Here is a 22,068-nt window from a genome sequence, read left to right on the forward strand (position 1 = left end):
CCTGCAAAAATGATTTCATATGGTTCACCTGTATTATAATTGATTTCTCCAGCCTTATATTCATTGACATTTACACTGTTTCCAAATGTTCTCAATTATTAAAAAATTTGCAGTGAACGTCATTGTGTTTAGATCTTTGCACACATCCATGATTATTTTCTTCTGGTAAATCCTTATACACTAGATATGTACTGCTGGGTAATAAGTTTCCAGAAATTTAGCAGTTTAAACAACACACATTTTATTTTATAGTTTCCATGGATCAGGTTAAGCTGGTTCCTCTGCTTCAAGGTTTCTCTTAGGGCTCCAACCTAGGTGCAGGTGAGCACTGGGTCTCATCTGAAGACTCAATTGGGGAAGGGTCTGCTTTCATGTTCATTCAGGTGGTTGTTAGCAGGATTCAGTTTCTTGCTGGCTGTTAATCTGAGACCTCCCCCAGTTCCTTGCCAAGTGGGCTCCTTCATAGAACAGCTCACAGAATGGCAGCTGTCTTCATTAAAGCTAGCAATGGAAAGAGTCAGATAGTAAGATGAATGTTGCAATCTTACGTAACTTAACTAAGACATGATAGACCATCACCCTTGCCATATTCTATTGGTTAGAAGGAAGCTCTAGGTCTTGCCCACACTCAAGAGGAGGGGATTATATAAGAATGTGAACACCAGAAAGAAGGGATTATTAGGGATCATCTTGGAGTATGCCTACTACATTCTAGAAGTAGAATTGCTAGACAAAATGATGTGAACATTTTTAGGGTTTTGAGATTTACTGATAAATTGACCCCTGGGATAGCCACATAAGTTAGTCTTCCCTCTAGGAGTACATGAAAAAACCTAGCTGCCTAAAGGGTCATCATTTTTAAAGTCTTTTCAATTTGATAGGAAAACCATGATATCCTGTTTTTATTTGCATTTCTTTGAGAGCTCATTTATTTTTTCCTTTGCAAATTGCTAATTCATAATTTTTGCCCATTAAAAAAAGCTGTTCAAAGTTTTAATAGAATAAAGATTTTATTAACCATTTGTCTTTAATGCATATCTTAGATATTTTTTCTGATTTTACCATTTGTTTTAAAGTCTTGGTTGCAAAATTTACAAAAATATTTAATTTTTAAATGGTCAAACCCAGCAATATTTACTTTATAATTTCTTCTTTTGCATTTTTTCCTAAAAAGCCCATCACCCCAAATTAGATAGATTACTATCTAAAGTTCATTTTTGATAGTAATTAGTAATTTTGTTGTTTCATTATTTATCTTTAACTCTTTAATCCACAGTTCATCTTTTCCTCACTCTTCTCACCTGAGCAATGAGTGATGGTATAATAATATCTCATAGTGTGTATCCTGACTGGGAATGAAGCGTCCCCTCCCAAGAAGGGGTATTAGAATCTCTCTTGTTGGTATGGAAGGGAAGGATGGTGTGTGGAAATACCAATCCTGTTATTTCAGTTTTCTGCATTAATTAGAAATTCCGAGAGAAATTGTAAGATAAAAAAGACAGTAGTGAGTGTCTTTTTCAAGAATGTCCCCAGTGTTTCACCACTAAGCATGGTGTTCTGTGTAATATATGTCCTTGATCAAATTTATTTTTTGTGCAGAGACATTTCAATTACATCTGTAATGAGTATTGACTTTGGAGAGGAGAGTATTAATTTAAATGATCCCAATATTTTTTCTTATTTGACTTTTTGGAATAAATCTCACTGGTTGTGGCCCATTTCTCTCTTTAAAAACTTCTGTTTTCCATTTGGTAATAGTTTATTAATAATTTTGACATTTGTATTTAAAGTGAGATTGATTTCTTATTTATCAAGATTAGGGTTATGCTAATCTCAAATACTTTGGGAAGCTTTCTCCCTTCTCTATGTCTTGATATAATTTATGAAGTATGATATTGCTGGTTCTTGGAGGTTGGAAAGATCTTACTCTAGAGTGGCCAAGGCCCAAGACTTTTAACAGAGTTAACCATGTAACAATCCTTCAGATTCTTTATCATTAATAGTTTCACCAATTTTCTGTCTCTTATGTTAATATGGTAATTTATGTTTCCCTGCAAATTGTCGATTTTGTTGAGAATTTAAAATTTATCAGCTAAAAGTTATAATAGTCCCATAATATTTAAATCTAACTTTTGATCTATAATTATATTCCTAATGATATGTATTCTTTTTTCCTGCTTTATCCTTGGTTAGATATGATGAATTACCTATTTTATTGTTGACTTTTTTCAAGATCCAGTTTTTATATGTATATATCCATCCCATTAGCTTTCAATTTTTAAAAACTTCATTAATGTCTTCACTTATTTTTATTATTCCTTCCTCCTTTGTTTTAATTTTTTATGAAAATGTTCACGCTAAAACTTAGGGCAAATAATATAATGTATGCTTCCTTACAGATCCATGAGCAATATACAACAAATACCAAAATTTTGCCACATTTGCTTCATCTTTTTCTCTTTTCTTTGTATTATTTGCTGAAATGTTTTAAATAAAACCCTAGAGATTATGTTATTTCACCCCTACACACCTCAGAGTACATCTCTAAAAAATATTTTTCTCAGCCGGGTGCGGTGGCTCACACCTGTAATCCCAGCACTTAGGGAGACGGAGGTGGGCAGATCACGAGGTCAAGAGATGGAGGCCATCCTGGCCCACATGGTGAAATCCCGTCTCTACTAAAAATACAAAAATTAGCTGGGCGTGGTGGCACGCGCCTATGGTCCCAGCTACTCCGGAGGCTGAGGCAGGAGAATCGCTTGAACCCAAGAGGCGGAGGTCGCCGTGAGCAGAGAATATTCCACTGCAGTCCAGCCTGGTGACAGAATGAGACTCCATCTCAAAAAAAAAAAAAAATACTTTTCTCACCTTTAGACATGTTTCGTGTTTCTTTCTCCACCTTACTGGATTGATTTTTCTTGGTTTATTGATTTTTCATTCTTTCTTTTATAATAAAAAAGTATTTAACACTATGAATTTTCTACTGAGTATAGAATTAGCAGCACATATTAATAAACTTGATATGTAATTTTCCCAATGTCAATATGTTCAAAGTTGGCTACAGTTAAATTTTTCAGTCTTGTTCTAGTAACTATATAGAAGAAACACATACATTCATATATATCCTTCTGGTGTTTTTGCTTAAGTATTCTGGAAACAACTCTAACATTAGTTTGTTTCACAGATTGGGTTGTCTGGACAGTGGGGTCTGAGACGGAAATTAGCATACAGGCGACTTAGGAGCAAGGGGCCTTGGGGTCAAGCGACACTTGTGGAAAGAAAGGAAAGGGAGTAGGACTGGGCAGAGGGAGAAGCTGAGCTGCAAGGAGGTCTCAGTGGAGGCCTCAGCCCACACCACAGAGAGCTCTGAAGGATCTTTTCAAGTTGTCTGGAGCTGAGAACAAGAGGACAGGGTTTTATTCCCCACACCAATCATTGAAAACAGGCTGCCCCAGGAAGGGGACATGGCTTTGGCCTCTTCAGTGGGAACAGACTCTGGAGAGGGCTGACAGCTGAGTGCTGTCTGCTGGAAGGACTCTCAGTGGCTGGGAGGATCCACTCTTCCTTGTTGAAGATGACTCTGGGTGGGGCATCCCGGTCTCCATCACAGTTGCAGAATTTCTAAGTTTGGGGATTTGTTTGTTCAGTGTTCAAGAATCATGTTCATTCTTCAGCAGTCTAAAAATCTAATGCATGCATATTACTCAAACTCACTAATTTTACCTACTTGGTTTACTGAAGAATGTTAAAGTAGTCTAATAAAATTATGATTTGGCTGTTTCTCCTTGTATTTTTATTTTTCGTAGTGTTTCCTTTATACCTTTTGAAGCTGTGCCATTCAATACAGAAATGTCTATAGTATTGCATCTTCCTTATGGCTTAAATCTGCTGCCCCTGCAAAACGCCCTCTCTGAATATTGTTTTCTCTTGCCTTGAATTATTTGCTTGTGGACACTTTCGTCCCTGGTTCTTTTGGTGTGTCTGATGAATCTTTAGCCATACTTTTATTCCTAATCATTTTTTTGTCATATCCCTTAAAAATTCATATAATAGACTTGGATTTCTATTTTTTACTCACAACTGAGAATTTGGGTGATTAGCACTGAAATTTAGCCCTTTTACAATTACGGTCATAACCAATATAACATCTTGTTTTATGAGGCGAAATTTTCAGGCTTCTTTAAATTTTGCTTCATTCCCTGTCTCTCACTATATGAACTATACAATCCTTTATTTTGACTAACTTCTTACTTGGCCACAGTATATTCTTGAATAATTTTTTTCAGAGTGTATAAATTAAAAAATTAACCCTTGCATTTAAAAAAAATTGACTTTTCTCCTCTTCAATTGGAATATTACCTTCTTTAACTATATAATTCGTGGGTCACAATTTTTTCCCCCTGAAAACTGCAATGTTTTTATTGTAGAGAAGAAATTTGGGGCCTGCCTAGTTTTCTGTTTCTTAGCAGTAGTAATTCTCCCCTGCTTTGCTGGTAGAATTGCTTCTTTGTTATTGAAACTGGAAAAGTTTGACCAATGTGTTTGAGCATTTGTTGCTTCTCACCACTTTTTCCTTGAACTTAGTAGGTGCATTTAGTTTGCAGATAGAAGTAATTATTCAGCCAAGCAAAGTTTTCTTCACTACCTCTTGGTACTGTTGCCTCTCCTTCCCATTCTACAATTTTGGGTGTTGTGAATCCATGCTCTGTATCTTTTACTTTTCCTTTTTCATTTCCATGTTTCTAAGTTTTCTTAACCTCATCTTTATTTTTTAAAAATTGATCCTTTATCATTTTCAATCTACTGTTTCATGCTTCAATTGCAATTTTATTTTTAACTGGGTCAAGTTGTTTTTCATTTCCTTGGCCTTTTCCAGATTTCATAGGTGCCCCTCTCTGATTATCCCCTCTAGTTACAGAGATGTGATGTCCTGTTTCCATCTTATCAGGAACATTTCTAAACCTTTCTGCTTGCAGTAACTCTATATTGTTGAGTCTCTTTCTTTATCCCCTTCTTCTGTACTTTGAGTCTTTTCATATGGCTAAATGTCTTTATCTGCTGGCCCCTGGCTTACAGAGTGAAGTACTTGCTTCTAATAAATTGGAGGCCTACATATGTTCTAAGAGGGGCTTAGTCGATCTCTGATTGGATATTTCAGGCCACATGAAGGGAAAAGGGAAAATTCTTATTGTCATTTTCCTTTTCCTTTTCCTTTTCAAAGAGTCAGGTGCTTGGAGAGATAAGAGATAGATGGAGCCAATGATATCTTTGACAAGGAGTTTTGCCTGCATGGAAAAATTTCTTTTTCTTGTTTTTGGGGAAGCTAGAAGTGGTGTCAGACTTCAGTCAGCAAAATTTCAGCAGTGTCCCACGTCTTCACACTTCAAGTACTCTATGAACCAGTGCCACAGGCTCCACTTGGTGTGGCCATTGCCTCCGCTTTGCTTTCCAAAGATACCGCTGGATTCCAAAATTTGATCTCAATGTCTTTGATAGCCCGCTCTGGCTTCCAGGCAGGTGTTTGTAAGGCTCAGCCAGGGTCTCTTCCATTTGCTTCCAGGCCCATCGTTCTGAGCATACGGTGGCTTGCAGCTGAGCTTGGGCCTCCTTCCACACTCACTCTGACAACCCCATATCCTGCTGCTATTTTCCAGTGTGTCTTTGGCTGTGAGAGTTTCCCTTCCTCAGCTTCCAGCAGAAACAGAGTGTCTTGAGGTTGAATAAAGGAATAAGACAGGTTTCCCTCAATGTGTGTATTTCACTCATCATCTCAGTGGCAGTTTGAGGACCACCAGTGGAAGGAAATGGATGACATCCCTGAGGAGTTCTTGCTTGCCAGTTAGATTTCAAATAATGTCCCAGAAAATAATGGTCCAGGTTTAAGGGAGAAGGAAGGGGGAAAAGATGCAGTGAATGCAGAAAAGACAAAGAAAGAAGATCCTGGACAGAAAGGAAAACGGTACCTCCAAGTGTTCTGTGATGCCCATATATGCCTTATGAAAATACCCACTGCTCAAGCCAGCTGTGTGCAGGGTTTCCAGGGCAGTCCCACCACCCCGACTCGTGCTTCAGGGATATGATGATGTTAAGGGTGCTCTTCCGGGTGGGCTCCATGTCCATTCTCTTCGTTTCAGCCACTCACGCTTCTGGGGAAAGAGGACACACAAAGAAATTTCTGTCCCATTCCCGAAAGGTCTTAGAAATGGATTGTGGTGGAAACGAGGCGATATCAAACACAAGACCAAGAGAGGTCCACGCCCCCTGCTGGTGAAAACAATAAATAGCTCCACCATTTTTCCTGGGCGTGGTTCCCCCCAGTTCTTGGGTGGGTGGGTCTTGGTTTGGTCTGTTTTGCTCAAATGGTGATGGGGGTTTGGGGGATAGGGAGTCCGTGGGAGAAAGAGAGAGAGATTTACCAGAATAAATGACACCCAGACTGCAGAATACCATACCATGTGAGGCGGAAAATGCCCCAGGAGTTAAGGATCATCATCAGAAAATAGTTTTTCCAATCCAGAATGCAAACAGATTGCAGGGCCTTGTGGGTGGAGCTGGTGGGGAGGCTGGGAGGCAGGGGGAGAGACAGGGTGTCACCGGCCCTTCAGAATGAGGATTGGATTTCTGTTGAATTTTTTATGGATGCCTGTAAGCCTCCCCATCACATTATAGTCTGGATGAAAAATTATCCACCAAGGAAAATAGATCTGCGTGAATCAAGATTTCATTGCCAAGGGCCAGGTTATCACATGGAATTTCTTTGTGGGTCAGCATGGCTGATTTATTTATATGTGTACCCTGTGGGTGTCTATTAGGCCTCCCAGACTGTGATCACTGTGGGGACAGCTGGCTTATATATATGTGTTGCTGGGCATGTGGTGGAACTGAAGCTGAACATTCGCCGAAGAGAAGGGGAAGGAAGGCATGGAAATGTATTTGGGCTGCTTCTAAGCAGTCAAGGCCAGAGCCCAGATTTAGGACTTGAAATATCGGGGTTCTCATTCTAATTCCATTGATTGCTGGATACGTAAATTTGAATAATAGCATCACCTTGCTGAATTTCAGCTTCCTCAACTGTAAAATGAGGATAGTAATATTCTCTGCTGAGCCAGCAGGTCAATGAAGTATGATGGTGGCTGAAATACTATAGGAATGACTAACTTGGGTAGGGATTAATAATGCTATTATATCTATTTATTTGGTGATTCAACAAGCACTTATTGAGCAACTACTATGGGCCATGCACTTTGCTGGGTGCTGGGGACACAGCAAAGATCAAGTAGGCATGGCCTCTGCCTTCTTTGTGTTGACAGTCCAGTAGCAACACAGATAAGTAATCCTCCTCTGCCTTGCTAATACACTTGATTCTTTATCCTTGAAATTAAAAACTTTTTTTTTTTTTTTGAGACAGAGTCTCTCTCTGTCGCCCAGGCTGGAGTGCAGTGGCGCCATCTCAGCTCACGGCTCACTGCAAGCTCCGCCTTCCGGGTTCATGCCATTCTCCTGCCTCAGCCTCCCGAGTAGCTGGGACTACAGGCACCCGCCACCATGCCTGGCTAATTTTTTGTATTTTTAGTAGAGACGGGGTTTCACCGTGTTAGCCAGGATGGTCTCGATCTCCTGACCTCGTGATCCACCCACCTCGGCCTCCCAAAGTGCTGGGATTACAGGCGTGAGCCACCGCACCCGGCCGAAATTAAAAACTTTTACCAACATTTCTAGGTGTTTGTCTTTTCTCATTATTTGTTCCTGGAACTTGCTACGTCTGTTTGACTTGCAGATAGTTGTTCTCAACTCAGCAAAGTTTGCTTCATCATTTCTGTGTGCTCTTTTGTTTCCTTCTTATCAGACAGTATCAAGTGTTCTGGATTCATGCTCCACGTTTTTTCATGTTTCCTCTTCATTTTCATGTCTTCATGGGGTGCTACAAGGGGGTTCTGTCCTCAGGAATTTGCTGGTGGTATTCCTGCTGCCCAGTTAGATCCGACGTGTTATCAGCTATTTGTAGAAAGCTGTTATGATCCTCCCTCACTGTTCCTCATCCTCCAAAACACATACTGTTATTACGGGAGCCAGAGGGATGCAGTTGAGGAGCTGAACTGGCCTGAAGAGGTCCAGCTGATCCCTTGAGGTGGAACACCACCTACTAAGAGCAGATCTTGTCTACTTCAGCTCCACATTTCAACGCTCAAAATGCAAGTACTGAACAGGGAGCTGAAGAAATAAAGAAAATCTGGGATGGGACTGGGTTCAAACGCAACAAGCATCATCTCAGCTCTTACTTTTTGGAATATGCTAAGAGTTGGATCAAATCAGCTCTCATCACCAAACTGGGGCACCAACACCCCATGTCCTGCCATAGGGCTTACCCCTGCTTTCCTAGGGGAAAAGATTACAAGCCAAGCTCAGTGACGTTGCAGTCAGGGTTGACACACTGCGCGGCACACCAAGAAAGCACCATGTATGTGACAGCCTATGTAAATGGCATGCTCTTGAGTACACACAAGGGTGTCTCCTGGAGGGCCTGGCTAGGGTGGTCCCTGAGTGATGGAATTATAGGTGACATCAACTATTTTCTTCTCTATTTTATTCCTGGGTATTTCAAATGTCCTATTATTTTCACATTTTTCCACTAGCATTACTATTTCTATACAGTTATTATTTGTTTGTTTAAGGAGTTTAGTAAATCACTCATCACTTCAAAGTTTGAACCAATATGCAGGGTGACCACCTGATCCCTGCTGGTGTAGGACTTCCCCAGTTTCGTCACTGAAAGTTCCGCATCCCAGGATGCCCCTCAGTCTTAGATAAACTAAGATTGTTGGACACCTTACAAAGGTGGTATATAAACCACATGGCAGATTAATAACCAAACAAAAAACACAAAGTATTATCATAAATATCCAGCACTGAACTTGAGAAGGCTGCAGTAGAAAATGTGACCTGGTTCTGAGGCTGAATGAGGACATTTGCCTTTGATACCTGGGCTAAATCCTGAAACCTGAGACCCACATTTGCAGACGTGGCTGAAGAGAGAGAGAGAGAGAGCTTTTCTCAGCCACCCATATACCAGGGCAGGAAACAGCAGGTGAAGCACACGCACTGCCCCACACACCAATAAAGCCTGTCCCAACTATTTCCATTCTCTGACTACTTGGATGCCAACTTTCACATACAGGGGAGTGAATATGGGGAGGGCAGAAGATCAGAAATGTTAGTTATATGTAACTTTCCCAATATGGAGAAAGAGTGGATAGAAGTCACCTCCCCTAAGGGACAAGACATGTATGTGAGGAAAGGAGAAAAAAAGGCACCTGTCCCTACATTAATAACAATAAGAACAATAATAATAATAGCAGCTACCTTTTATTTTATTTTATTTTATTTTATTTTTCCATAATTTATTGGGGTACAGGTGGTATTTGGTTACATGAGTAAGTTCTTTAGTGGTGATTTGTGAGATCCTGGTGCACCCATCACCCGAGCAGTATACACTGCACCATATTTGTTGTCTGTTATCCCCTGTGTCCCTTCCACTCTTCCCCCCAAGTCCCCAAAGTCCATTGTATCATTCTTATGCCCTTGCATCCTCATAGCTTAGCTCCCACATATCAGTGAGAACATATGATGTTTGGTTTTCCATTCCTGAGTTACTTCACTTAGAATGATAGTCTCCAGTCTCATCCAGGTCATTGCAAATGCTGTTAATTCATTCCTTTTTATGGCTGAGTAGTATTCCATTGTGTATATATACCACAGTTTCTTTATCCATTCGTTGACTTGATTTGGGTTGGTTCTATGATTTTGCAATTGTGAATTGTGCTGCTATAAACATGCGTGTGCAAGTATCTTTTTGGAATAATGACTTCTTTTCTGCAGGGTAGATACCCAGTAGTGGGATTGTTGGATCAAATGAGCTACCCTTTATTTTTATTTTTATTTTGGAGGGATGGAGTCTCACTCACTCTGTTGCCCAGGCTGGAGTGCATGGCATGATCTCAGCTCACTGCAACTTTTTCCTCCCAGGTTCAAGCAATTCTCCTGCCTCAGCCTCCTGAGAAGCTGGGATTACAGGCAAGTGCCACAATGCTCGGCTAATTTTTGTATTTTTTTTTTTAAGTAAAGGTGGGGTTTCACCATGCTGGCCAGGCCGGTCTTGAACTCCAAGTGATCCACTCGCCTCAGCCTCCCAAAGTGCTAGGATTACAGGCATGAGTCACCATGCCTGGTGGTTGACTACTTTATTGACTACTCGTTATATCCAGGCATCATGTTAAGTTTCTTACATATATAAGCTTATTTGATTGTTAATAATTCTGTGAAAGGTACTCGTATTACCCCTGTCCTTCAAATGAGGAAACCAAGGCACAGAGAGGTCAAGCCATTTGCCTAAGACACCCAGCTAATAAGTGCAGAGCTATGATTAAAATCCAGTTGCACGTGGGTCTAATTAGATGGTAGGTTGGAGTCACACCTCTAAATTAATATGATTTTGATTGGGCCGCTTAACTTGTGGATGCCTCAGTTTCCTCATTTGTCCAATGAGGATAATATGCCTTGATTAATCTTACAGAGATATTCTGAAGATCCAGTGAAATGGTGAGTAGGAAAGTACTTTTCACAACTTACCCATATAAATTATTTTTTACATAACTTGCATAATATCAATGGCATTTCAATTTCAAGAATAACACGATGAACCCTACAGGTTTAAATGACAGCCCTGCAATATGGATCCCATGGACATTTCAAAGTTGCACTCTGTGTTGAAAAGCAGAGTCAGGTGATAAGGTGAAGCCTGTTTCCAGACCAAGATCTCTGATTTCTTTAGCTTTTGTAGGATGCCTTTGTATTTTTAGAGAGAACTGCTGTGGACTGGGTACAAATGGAGAACAACCAGTGCCCCACTTGATTCTTGATTGGAAATCAGGTAGTGTTGAGACTCCTATTTTTAGAGAGGGAACAGTGGGACACAGGTGATTAGATGCTCTGGATGGTGGTCAGAGGGTGATGAGCATTCTCAGTGAAAGCGGGAGAATGCCTACTGTCTACAAATAGCAATCCGAGCTCAATCTTCTCAGCATGGCTTGGTCCTACCAGGGGCCTTGCTTTAAGGCGGTGGGTAGAGGGTGGTAACAAATCTTTCCAGGACCCTGTATCTCTTGGAAACTTTAATGTCATTTGCGGTCATGGAACCAACTTCACGAACTAAGGATGACCTTGGAAATCACTCAGTCCAATGCCTTCATTTCGCGGATGACAAGAGTCTTAGAAAGACTCCAAGACTTTCCCAAGAACACGCAGTCAGTGGCAGAGCTAGGAACAAGAACTCAAGTCTCCTGACTCCCAGGTCAGTGGTCTTTTCATCTGACTAACTGCCCTGTAATGCAGTTTGAATCCCAGGTTGGGGAAGCAGGTTGTACAGTGAGGTGGGTGGGCTAAAGAGAGCTGCAAGCAGGCCTGGTGGGAGAGGAAAGGAGGAGGGGTCAGAGGGTGGGCAAGAAAGAAAAAGCGGAGAAAGAAGAGACATGTGGAAGGAACGGAGAGGCAGCGACAGAGAAACAAGACTTGCAATAAATAGGAGAGATGCTATGGAAATTACTTTTTGAATGGTATTTAATTGGTTTATTAGTGTAATTCAGTTGCAGTTTGATTTGATTCAAACTTCTGATATGTGTGATCCACCATCCACCAAGGACACTGCCAGCCTTACACAAGCAGAAGCAAAAGGCAGATCTGAGAGGAAGAGGGGGTGGTAGACAATGGAAGATGAAAGAGAAGGTGAAAAGAGGAGATAGCAAGAGGGATGAGAGGAGGAGAGGGAAAGGAAGAGAAAAGAAAGGAGAAGAGGAAAGAAGGGCAGGAAGAGGGAGGAAGGAACTGAGAGTGGTGGAGGGGAGATTGGAGATGGAGGCAGAGAAGAGAAGAGAAAGAAATGAGGAGAGAAAGAAGATAAGAAACAAGAAAGAGAGCCAGAGATGGGGGCATGTGATAGAGTGACTATGAGAGGCATGAAAGGGAAAGCAAGGGCCAGGAGAGATCAAGAGAGGTGAGGGAAAGTATAAATACAGCAAAGAGGCTGGCAAGGCTGCGGAGAAATAGAAATGCTTTTACACTGTTGGTGGGAGTGTAAATTAGTTCCACCATTGTGGGAGACAGTGTGGCAATTCCTCGAAGATCTAGAGACAGAAATACCATTTGACCCAGCAATCTCATTACTGGGTATATATCCAGAGGAATATAAATCATTCTATTATAAAGATACATGCATGTGTATGTTCATTGCAGCACTATTCACAATAGCAAAGACAGAATGAACCCAAATGCCCATCAATGATAGACTGGATAAAGCAAATGTGGTACATATACACCATAGAACACTATGCAGCCATAAAATGGAATGAGATCATGTCTTTTGCAGGGCCATGGATGGAGCTGGGAGCCATTATCCTCAGCAAACTCACGCAAGAACAGAAAACTAAACACCTCATGTTCTCACTTCTAAGTGGGAGCTGAACAATTAGAACACCTGGACACAGGGAGGGGAACAGGGGAACAACATACACCTGGGGCCTGTTGGGGAGGGGGAGGGAGAGCATCAGGATAGCTAATGCATGTGGGGCTTAATACCTAGGTGATGAGTTTATCTTTGCAGCAAACCACCATGGCACACATTTACCTATGTAACAAACCTGCACATCCTGCACATGTATCCCAGAACTTAATAAAATAAAATGAAATTGAAAAATAAATAAATACATGCATACAGCAAAAAGAAGTTTAGGAAGTCCTAGGAGACCAAGGAAGTCAGCAGGGCACAGAGCAATAGATGTGGAGAGACAATGAGAGACAAAAACAAAGAAAGGACAAAGAAAAAAGAAAGGGCATGGGGAGAGAAGAAAAGGGCGTAGGGGAACAGTGAGTTACAAACACATACACATGCACACATACACGCATACACACACACACACACACACACACACACACACAAGTCTTGGGCATCTCCTGATGCCCTTGAGGACCCACTGGCTAGACAATCCCTGGACTTTTGTTTTTTGTTTTTTGAGACGGAGTTTTGCTCTTGTTGCCCAGGCTGGAGTGCAATGGCGCGATCTCAGCTCACCACAACCTCCGCCTTCCGGTTTTCAAGTGATTCTCCTGCCTCAACCTCCCAAGTAGCTGGGATTACAGCTGCCCACCACCACACCCAGCTAATTTTGTATTTTTTAGAAGCGATGGGGTTTCTCCATGTTGGTCAGGCTGGTCTCGAACTCCTGACCTCAGGTAATCCACACGCCTCGGCCTCCCGAAGTGCTGGGATTATAGGCCTGAGCCACTGCACCCTGCCTATTTCCTGTACTTCTAACACTAGGGTGGCACCAGGACCCAGCCACCCTCCAGGCTATTTTCCAACCCAGGAAGACTTTCTATGTCAGTGGTGCTAGTCCCTCCCCAAGCCTTCTGGTGACAGCGGCGGCCCCTAGGTGCAGCTCTTGCCCTTAGATGCAGCTCCTGGTGGGTACCTTGGGAGATGTGGAGGGCGGGCTTGGGCAGGTACAGACAGTAGCATTTCAGAGCTGCACAGGCCCAGAGTTTTTATTAAAGCTAATCCTCTTCCTTTCACAGATGGGGAGACAGGACTCCAGGGAGGAGAATGGAGTCAGAAGCAGAGCTTCCTAAGCCACATGTCCTGCCTCCCAGAGCCCCCACAGCAAGAGCAAGCTGTTGGTACAGTGCCATGCCATGGTTATGGGCACAAGCTTTAGACCCAAACAGACCCAGCTGTGTAGACTTGGCCAAGTCCTTTAGCCTCCCTGAGCCTCATTTTCTGCAAAATGTGGATTGAGACAATTCCTAGGTCATAGGGCTGCTGGGAGGAACCAGGGAGATAAAAATATATGGAAAATATCTAGAAAAAAAAGCCTGGCACATACAAAGTGCTTGATATATTATGATTTTTACTATTAATAAAAGAAGGCACCTGAGACCCCCAACAGAGTTGTAGGGGGTTTCTCCTCAGCCAAAATTTGAGAAGGGCAATGGGGGCATAGTGGGTATGAATGTGAACTCTATGCATCAGAATGCCTGGGTTTGGTTCCCAGCTCTGCCACTGAGTGACCTTGAACAAGTTAATTACTTTGCTGTGCCTCAGTTTCTTCAACTGTGAAATGCAGCTAATTCCTACCTCATTGGATTGTTCACGAGAATCAATTAATACAAGTACTTAGAACAGGGTCTGACCCGTAGAAGGTGTTAGAGACATGGTAGCTCTCATTGTTAGTGTCATCGCTGGGCTCAGCTATACGGATGTGGGGACTGAGATCCAAAAGGTGGACACACCCACAGTCACATGCAGTTAGTGCAAAGCTGGGATTTGAACCCAGATATGCTTGCAGGCTCAAGACTTCCCAAGACTCCAGAATCCCTGTTCAGAAATCTTTCCACATTGCCACGCTTTCCAAAGAGGAAGACCCACCCCCGCCCCTTCCTCACAGCCAGCAACACATGTCTTGTTCCTTCTGACTTAAATTTTAACAGTATCTTTGATGAAAACGCCTCCCTTCCATAAGGAGAAAGGGCAGAGTGTGTTATAATCAAGACTTAGGAACTCCCAGGGCTTTGTCTCTGCCCCCTATGCCCCACATTCCCCTTCCCCCACTCCCCCGCTCCCCCCCGCCCCAAAACACTCACAGAGACACACCCTGCTTCTCCGTCTTTGGTCTGTGATTACAGAAGCCAACTCCATGTGGCTGGTGGTAATCGGTTGGGAACCCTGGCTAGATTTGTCTCTAATGCCGATTCCAGGGACCTGTAATTTTCATCAGCACCGTGTGACTTTTTATGGAACCGTAAGATGCATGGCACAGCTAATGAGCTGTAATTCTGAAGAGCTTCTGCCTTGATTGGGACTAATTATTTTTATAAAGAAAATAATTAGGCCAGGCATGGTGGCTCAAGCCTGTAATCCCAGCACTTTGGGAGGCCAAGGTGGGCGGATCACCTGAGGTCAGGAGTTCAAGACCAGCCTGGCCAATATGGTAAAACCCCATCTGTACTAAAATACAAAAAATTAGCCAGGCGTGGTGGTGTGCACCTGTAGTCCCAGCTACTCAGGAGGCTGAGGCAGGGGAATTGCTTGAACCCGGGAGGCAGAGGTTGCAGTGAGCTGAGATTGCTCCACTGCGCTCCAGCCTGGCGACAGAGCGAGATTCCATCTCAAAATAATAATAATAAAATTAAAAATAATAATAATTATTATTATTAACAATCCCAGCGACCCACTGATGGGGAAAGGAGGCGTGCTTTGGGCACCATTATATCCCAGGGCTGGTTTTCAGAACCTCTTGATCTCTTCTCAGCCTGGGACTGAGCAGAGTGAAGGGGAGCAGTGGTCCTATCTTCACCCTCATCAAAGAGCTTTTGCAGTGGGCCCCTGGGAGCAGGAGGAGGAAAGTCCAAGTCTGACCTCAGCCAAGAAAAAGAGATCTCTTGGCCTCTATCCACATGAAACTCACCCAGAGAATCCGGGAGCTAGAAGGGACTCTGGAGCTCTGAAATAAGTCTGGCAGTCTGGGTTTGGATTCCAACTATCTAACCTTAACATCTCTGCATTTTGGGTTGTTAGTGGGCCCTGGAAGGATTTTGTATGGATTAAATGAGACAACCTGTGAAAGAAACATCTAGAGCTTAATGGAGACATCTCATAAATAATTTTTTATACATGATTCACAGTTCAACATCATCAAAAATGCCCAGAGGAGGGAGAGCATTTAACTAAGGACACACAGTTGGCAGCAAAACCAGAATCAGAACCCAGGTCTTTCCAGGCCTCTCTGTTGCTGTTTTGTGTTTGTATGTTTGCTTCTAATTTCACCATGGTGAACTCTCCATTATCCAATCTCTCTGAAACATCTTGAACACTGATGATATGGCCCTTATTTAGTCTGAATTATCTGGATACAATTTGGTCTTCTATTTCACAGGTGTAAGGAAGCAGCACAGTCTGGAACATAAAAACGTGTGGACTCTGGTGAAACCCCGTCTCTACTAAAAATACAAAAAAATTAGCCAAGCATCGTGGCAGACACCTGTAGTCCCAGCTACTCCAGAGGCTGAGGGAGGAGAATGGTGTGAACCCGGGAGGCGGAGCTTGCAGTGAGCTGAGATCTCGCCACTGCACTCTAGCCTGGGTGACAGAGTGAGATCCCGTCTAAAAAAAAAAAAAAAAAAAGTGTGGACTCTGTCTTCACACAGTTCAATGTTTTATGGCTTAGCTACACCATTTCTTTGCTGGATAATCTTGGGAAAATCTCTGAAACTATGCCCAGTTTCCTTATCTTTAGAATAGAAACAATAATGAAATTTACCACAAATTTTATAAGATGATGAGCATAAAGTGACATTTAACAAGCATGTACATTTGTCAGCTAATGCCACAATAATGCTGTGTAACAAACCACATCCAAGCTCAATGTTCTAAAAGATTAATCATTTCTTTTATTATTAACTTTAAAATTTTTTTTTAATTTCAATAGGTTTTTGGGGAACAGGTGGTGCTTGGTTCCATAAATAAGTTCTTTAGTAGTGATTTCCGAGATTTTGGTGCACCCATCACTGGAGCAGTGTACACTGTACCCAATGTGTAGTCTTTTATCCCTCACCCTCCTCCCACCCTTTTTCCCCAAGTCCCCAAAGTCCATTGAATCATTCTTATCCCTTTGTGTCCTCATAGTTAAGCTCGCATTTGTGAGTTAAAACATTAATCATTTATTCTCACTTGTGCAACTGCAGTTAGTTTATCAATGCTGAGCCCAGCTGGGCTTGGGTTTAGATCTGTTTCACATGCACTCATTTCCCTGGACCAGTGGTCACCTGGACAAGTTCCAACGTGATGGTAGAAGTGCAAGAGAGGCAAGTGGGAAAACACAATCTTTCTTAAGGCCTAAGCCTGGAGCTGGTACACTGTCATTCTTTCCCTACTCCATTGGCTGGAGCAGGTCACATGATCAACCCCAATACTGATAGGTGGACAAATAAGCCCACCCCTAGTAGGAAGAACTGCAAAGTCATATGACAAAGGGCATGGAAGACACATGACAAGGAAGCAGAACAGAGAACCATAATGCAACCTGCTACAATACACAATCGATGCTAGCAGTTCTTATAAGAGACAAATGTTGCAATTCTAGATCTTGAGATATAATTCTGCCTTCTGTGTGCATGTTACTTTGCAGTTTTCAGAGTTTCACTGTCTCAAATATTCTTTTATGTTGCCCCCACTGCAACCCTGTGAAACAAGAATTAGAACCCCTGTTTTACAAACCCTGTGAAACAAGAATTAGAACCCCTATTTTACAGTGGGGACACTGGATCTCAGGGTGATAATGCAGCTTGCCCCAGACCGCAGCTGGAGAGGGCGGTAAAGCCAAGACCCAGCTCTGGGTCTCCCTAACCCAGTTCCAAATCAGGGGTGAGCCCATGAGTGCACATGAAGGGAAATAATTCCCAGTGGCCTTTACCTTTCTTCTTTTTCCTAAAATCAAATCATCAAGACATATTTAGCGAGCCCATGTGATGGAGGTGAAGGAGCTAGATAACACACTAAGAATAAACATGAATTGTGAGCTCTGGGAGATATTCTCATCACTTGCCTGGGATACAGTTTTCCAAGTCCCTCCTAGTGTTTAAGAGCATGGGGAACCTGAGGCAGGGAAAATCGGGTTCAAATCCTGCCACCAGCTCCCATTCTTTCTTTACACCTGGACGTTTGAATTCTCTGAGCCTTGGTCTCCTTACCTGTAAAATAAGGATAATAATAATAGCAATTGCGGGCTGGGTGCAGTGGCCTGTAATCCCAGCACTTTGGGAGGCCGAGGTGGGCTGATCACTTGAGGTCAGGAGTTCAAGAGCAGCCTGGCCAACATGGAGAAACCCTTTCTCTACTAAAAATACAAAAATTAGTCTGGCATGGTAGCACTTGCCTATAGTCCGAGTACTCAGGAGGCTGAGGCAGGAGAATCACTTGAACCCAGGAGGCAGAGGCTGCAGTGAGCTGAGATCACACCACTGTGCTCCAGCCTGGGCAACAGAGTGAGACTCTGTCTCAATAACAATAATAACAGCAATTGCATCAAGAAGTTGTGAGGACAGATTCATTCATTCAAGACATCTTTATTGGATACCTACTGTGTGCCAGACACTGTTCTAGGTGCTAGAGATGTAGCAATAAATACAGGAAAGCCTTTGCCCTTACGAAGCTTAAATTTTTGTGGAAGAAGACCGGCTATAGACAGATACACAAGTAAATACACAGTGTGAAGGAGAAAAATGACACGTGGTAAGGGGGATAGGAAAAGCGTGGCATTGGACAGGTGTCCCAGGTTGTTTTTTACATCTGGTGTTTAAGAATCTCACTCATGAAGTCACACTTGGGCAAAGAGTCAAAAGAAGTGTGGAAACAATCCAGGAGACATCTGGGCAAAGTGTATCCCAGGCACATACAAAAGCTAGTGGTGGGTGTATACTTGGCCAGTGTCATTGGAGCAATTTGAGAGAAGAGGAAAGTGATAAAATGAAATTAGAGAAATAACAGGGAGCCAATTTGTATGGCAACTTTTTTCGTTATTAGCAGGACTTGGCTTTATAATATGAGTGAGATAGGAAGCCTCGGTTTGAGAAGAGGACTGACATAATCTGACTTCCATTTGAAAGGATCACTCTGGCTATGGGGCAGAGAGTAGCTTTAAGGGAACTAGGGTACAAATTTAATGAGATAATGCATGTGGAGCTCTTAATACGGAGTCTGATCAGTAGTGTATCAGTTTTCTAGAACTACCATGACAAAATGCCACAGACTGAGTGTCTTAAACAGTAATAATTTATTTTCTCATTGTTTTGAAGGCTGGAAGTTCAAGATCAAGGTGTCAGCAGGTTTGGTTTCTTCTGAGGTCTCTCTCTTTGGCTTACAGATGGCTGCCTCACTCTAGGTCTTTACATCATCTTCTTTTTATACATATCTGTGTCCTAACCTCCTACTGGATTAGGGCCCACCCATAGGACCTCATTATACCTTAATTACCGTTTAAAAGGTCCCATTTTCAAACGCAATCACATTTTAAAAGGTCCTATTTTCAAATGCAATCACATTCTGAGGTACTGAGGGTTAGGACTTCAATATATGAATTTTGGAGAGACACAATTCAGCCTCAAACAAGTAGTAATCTAATTATTATTGTCATTATTGTCTTTATGCTTCATCTAGGAGCTCTCTTGTCTGGGCCAATCGTGCACTCTTCATACCTGAGCAATACCTCCAGGACGGTGACAGCAACCCTCTCCCACAATCTTTAGTCAACAATTATTTATTAAGCACATACTCTGTGCCAGGTACTGAGAAAGGACAGCAAGGACACTCACTTGTTCTAGGCATAACATGGTTTTCAACACCTTCACCATCTTTAACAGAGTTCTGGATCTGTTCTGGATTTGTTTGATCTCCTTTCAAGAAGTAGTTGTGATCACCTACATGTGCCAGGTTCTAGTGATGATAATGATGAACAAGACAGGGCTCTGCTTTCAAGGGCCTCTTGGGGATTTTGCTCAGCATAGCTAATCGCATAAACAAATTCATCCTGATGCATCAGTAGGTGTTCATAAATTTTCCTCTTGAGGTAATACGTGTGCTTTTAGAGACCTTGCAGTTCAATGGGGTGCATATGGTGGAACTTGCAGCAGAGTGTAAGACCTTTAGGGGAGTTATCTTTTGTCATGAAAGCTCAAAGCACACATTGCCTTGTATCCTAGCTTACTTTTTAGTATCTAACAGTTTGGTAAGAACAAGAGCCATGTCTGCCATTTTCCACTATATATCCAGTGTGTGACATCTTGGTTGGCACCTAACAGGTATTCAACAAATATTTGTTGACTGAATAGATAGACCTCAAACTATGTTATCTAGAACTGTACTGTCCAATATGGTAGCCACTAGCCATCTGTGGCTATTTATAAATTAAAAGTTTATTATTAAATGTACTATTTATTTAATATTAATTTATTATTAAAATTAAAAATTAATTTTCTAAGTCACCCTAGCCACATCCCAAGTGCTCAGTAGCCACCTGTGGCTCCCATATTGGACAGAGAGATACAAGATGTAGACCATCTCTGTCATCATAGAAAGGTTGCAGAGCCAGAACAGTGGTTCTCAATCAGGAGCAATTTTTTCCTCCAAGAGAATTTGGTAGTGGTTGGAGGTGTTTTTGGTTGTCACAACTGAGGGATTGCTACTGGTGTCTGTTGGATGGAAGCTAGGGATGCTACTAAACATCTACAGTGCAGAGGACAGACCCCCAGTAGTGTCATGGTTGGAAAACCATGTTGTAGGTTATCAGCCTCCAGGAGAGCCCAAAGATTTCTACCTGAAGCAATGTGCATTTACATAAGATTGTGATGCTGTTGTGTGGGTGACAGCTCACATATTTACAACACTCAACAGTTCACAAAGTTGAGCCATCCAATGTAATCCTCCCAACACTGGGAGAAAAGTAAACTCCTACTCTACTGGGGGAAAAAAGCAAGGCTCAGAGATGTGTCTTAGAAGGTGCTGAAATGGAACCCAAGCATGCAAGTTACAGGGAAGCTGCTTTTTTTCTTAGTTAAGGAAGATTTTTTCCAAATATTAGAGGTTTCTGAAAGTGGAGGGAATGAATCTTCTCTTATTGAAAGTACCCTAAGATTACTCCATGGGGCTGTATTTCTCAAAGTACCCACTAGACTACAGAAGAAAATTTGATGACCCCAAATTTCTAAGAAAGACTACACAATACTTTCCCTTCCTTGGCCTTCACGTTGCACTGAACATATTAAAGGCACTGATAAGTCCTGCAGCAACAAAGTCTGGTTTTTTTTGTTTAATCTCTTGTTTCTTTTGAGTACACAATCCCATCCCCACTCCATCTTAGAGGAGCAAGCAACGATTAACGTATGGTAGAACTGATGTTTGGTGGAGCACATTTTGGTGAATGCTGCTTTACAGCATCGTCAAACATGATAGGTAATATCAAACAATCTTTCTGTCTTCTGGGCCCATCTGCACTTCTATTACTACCTAGGTAACCATGGGCAAGTTTTGGTATTTGGTGAGAAACATTTAGAATGTCTGGATTTGAGCTAAATGACTTACCAGTGGCCACACAGCTAGAGTGTTCCATTTTAGAGCTTGGCTGGCATTTATTTATCATTTTCCTCTTTCTGCCTCTCGGGAGTCTATTTGGATCAGTATGAAGTCTTTCTCCTCAAGAGGCTGAATCAGATGCAATGCGCCCAATTCATCTGCTTGATGCCACACTCCCAAGGGGAATTACATCACCTGCTGTGTTTAGAATAATCACCGTGGCAACTGTGGCTGCTCTCGTGGATGTGGACTGTTCCCATGTAGCAGTGATGGGTGCTGGCTCATACGAAAGAGAGGGACAGGTAGTGAGTTTCCACTGCTAAGGACCCTTAGGTTTCATGTATGTCTCTCTGGTGATAACTGGGTGTGTGGATATGTCAACATCCAATTTAGTGTTTCCAAGACTCACCTGGGAAAGAGATGTATAAAATGTAAACTTTCTTTTATAGCTTAGTTTAATTCCAACCAAGTACTGGCATAGAGATTACCTAGGATGTTTAACTGCTTTTTTGTTGTTGTTGTTGTTGTTGTTTTGTTTGTTTATTTATTTATTTTTGAGACAGAGTCTCTCTCTGTTACCCAGGCTGGAGTGTAGTAGCGCGATCTCGGCTCACCGCAAGCTCCGCCTCCCGGGTTCACACCATTCTCCTGCCTCAGCCTCCCGAGTAGCTGGGACTACAGGCACCCGCCACCACCCCGGACTAATTTTTTGTATTTTTAGTAGAGATGGGGTTTCACCGTGTTAGCCAGAATGGTCTCGATCTCCTGACCTCGTGATCTGCCCCACCTCGGCCTCCCAAAGTGCTGGGATTACAGGCGTGAGCCACCACACCTGGCCTAAGATGTTTAACTGTTGAGAGACAGAGAGGACGTGGTGTGGCATAGGAAAGGAAGGTCCT

General features: G+C 42.3%; 1 protein-coding gene and 1 long non-coding RNA gene across 2 annotated transcripts in view; one reads left to right on the forward strand and one right to left on the reverse strand.

Annotated features, from left to right (window-relative positions):
* SRRM4 (serine/arginine repetitive matrix 4) overlaps positions 1 to 22,068 on the forward strand; it is a 181,511-nt gene that overhangs the window by 49,281 nt on the left and 110,162 nt on the right. The window lies entirely within an intron of this gene.
* Positions 217 to 21,366, reverse strand: SRRM4-AS1 (SRRM4 antisense RNA 1). Its single transcript, XR_945431.3, has 3 exons — positions 21,179 to 21,366; positions 5,964 to 6,146; positions 217 to 501 (listed from the first exon to the last, which is right to left on the reverse strand). It is a non-coding gene; the product is annotated as an SRRM4 antisense RNA 1 (long non-coding RNA).

Source organism: Homo sapiens, chromosome 12 (genome assembly GCF_000001405.40).
Source record: "Homo sapiens chromosome 12, GRCh38.p14 Primary Assembly".
NCBI lineage: Eukaryota > Metazoa > Chordata > Mammalia > Primates > Hominidae > Homo > Homo sapiens.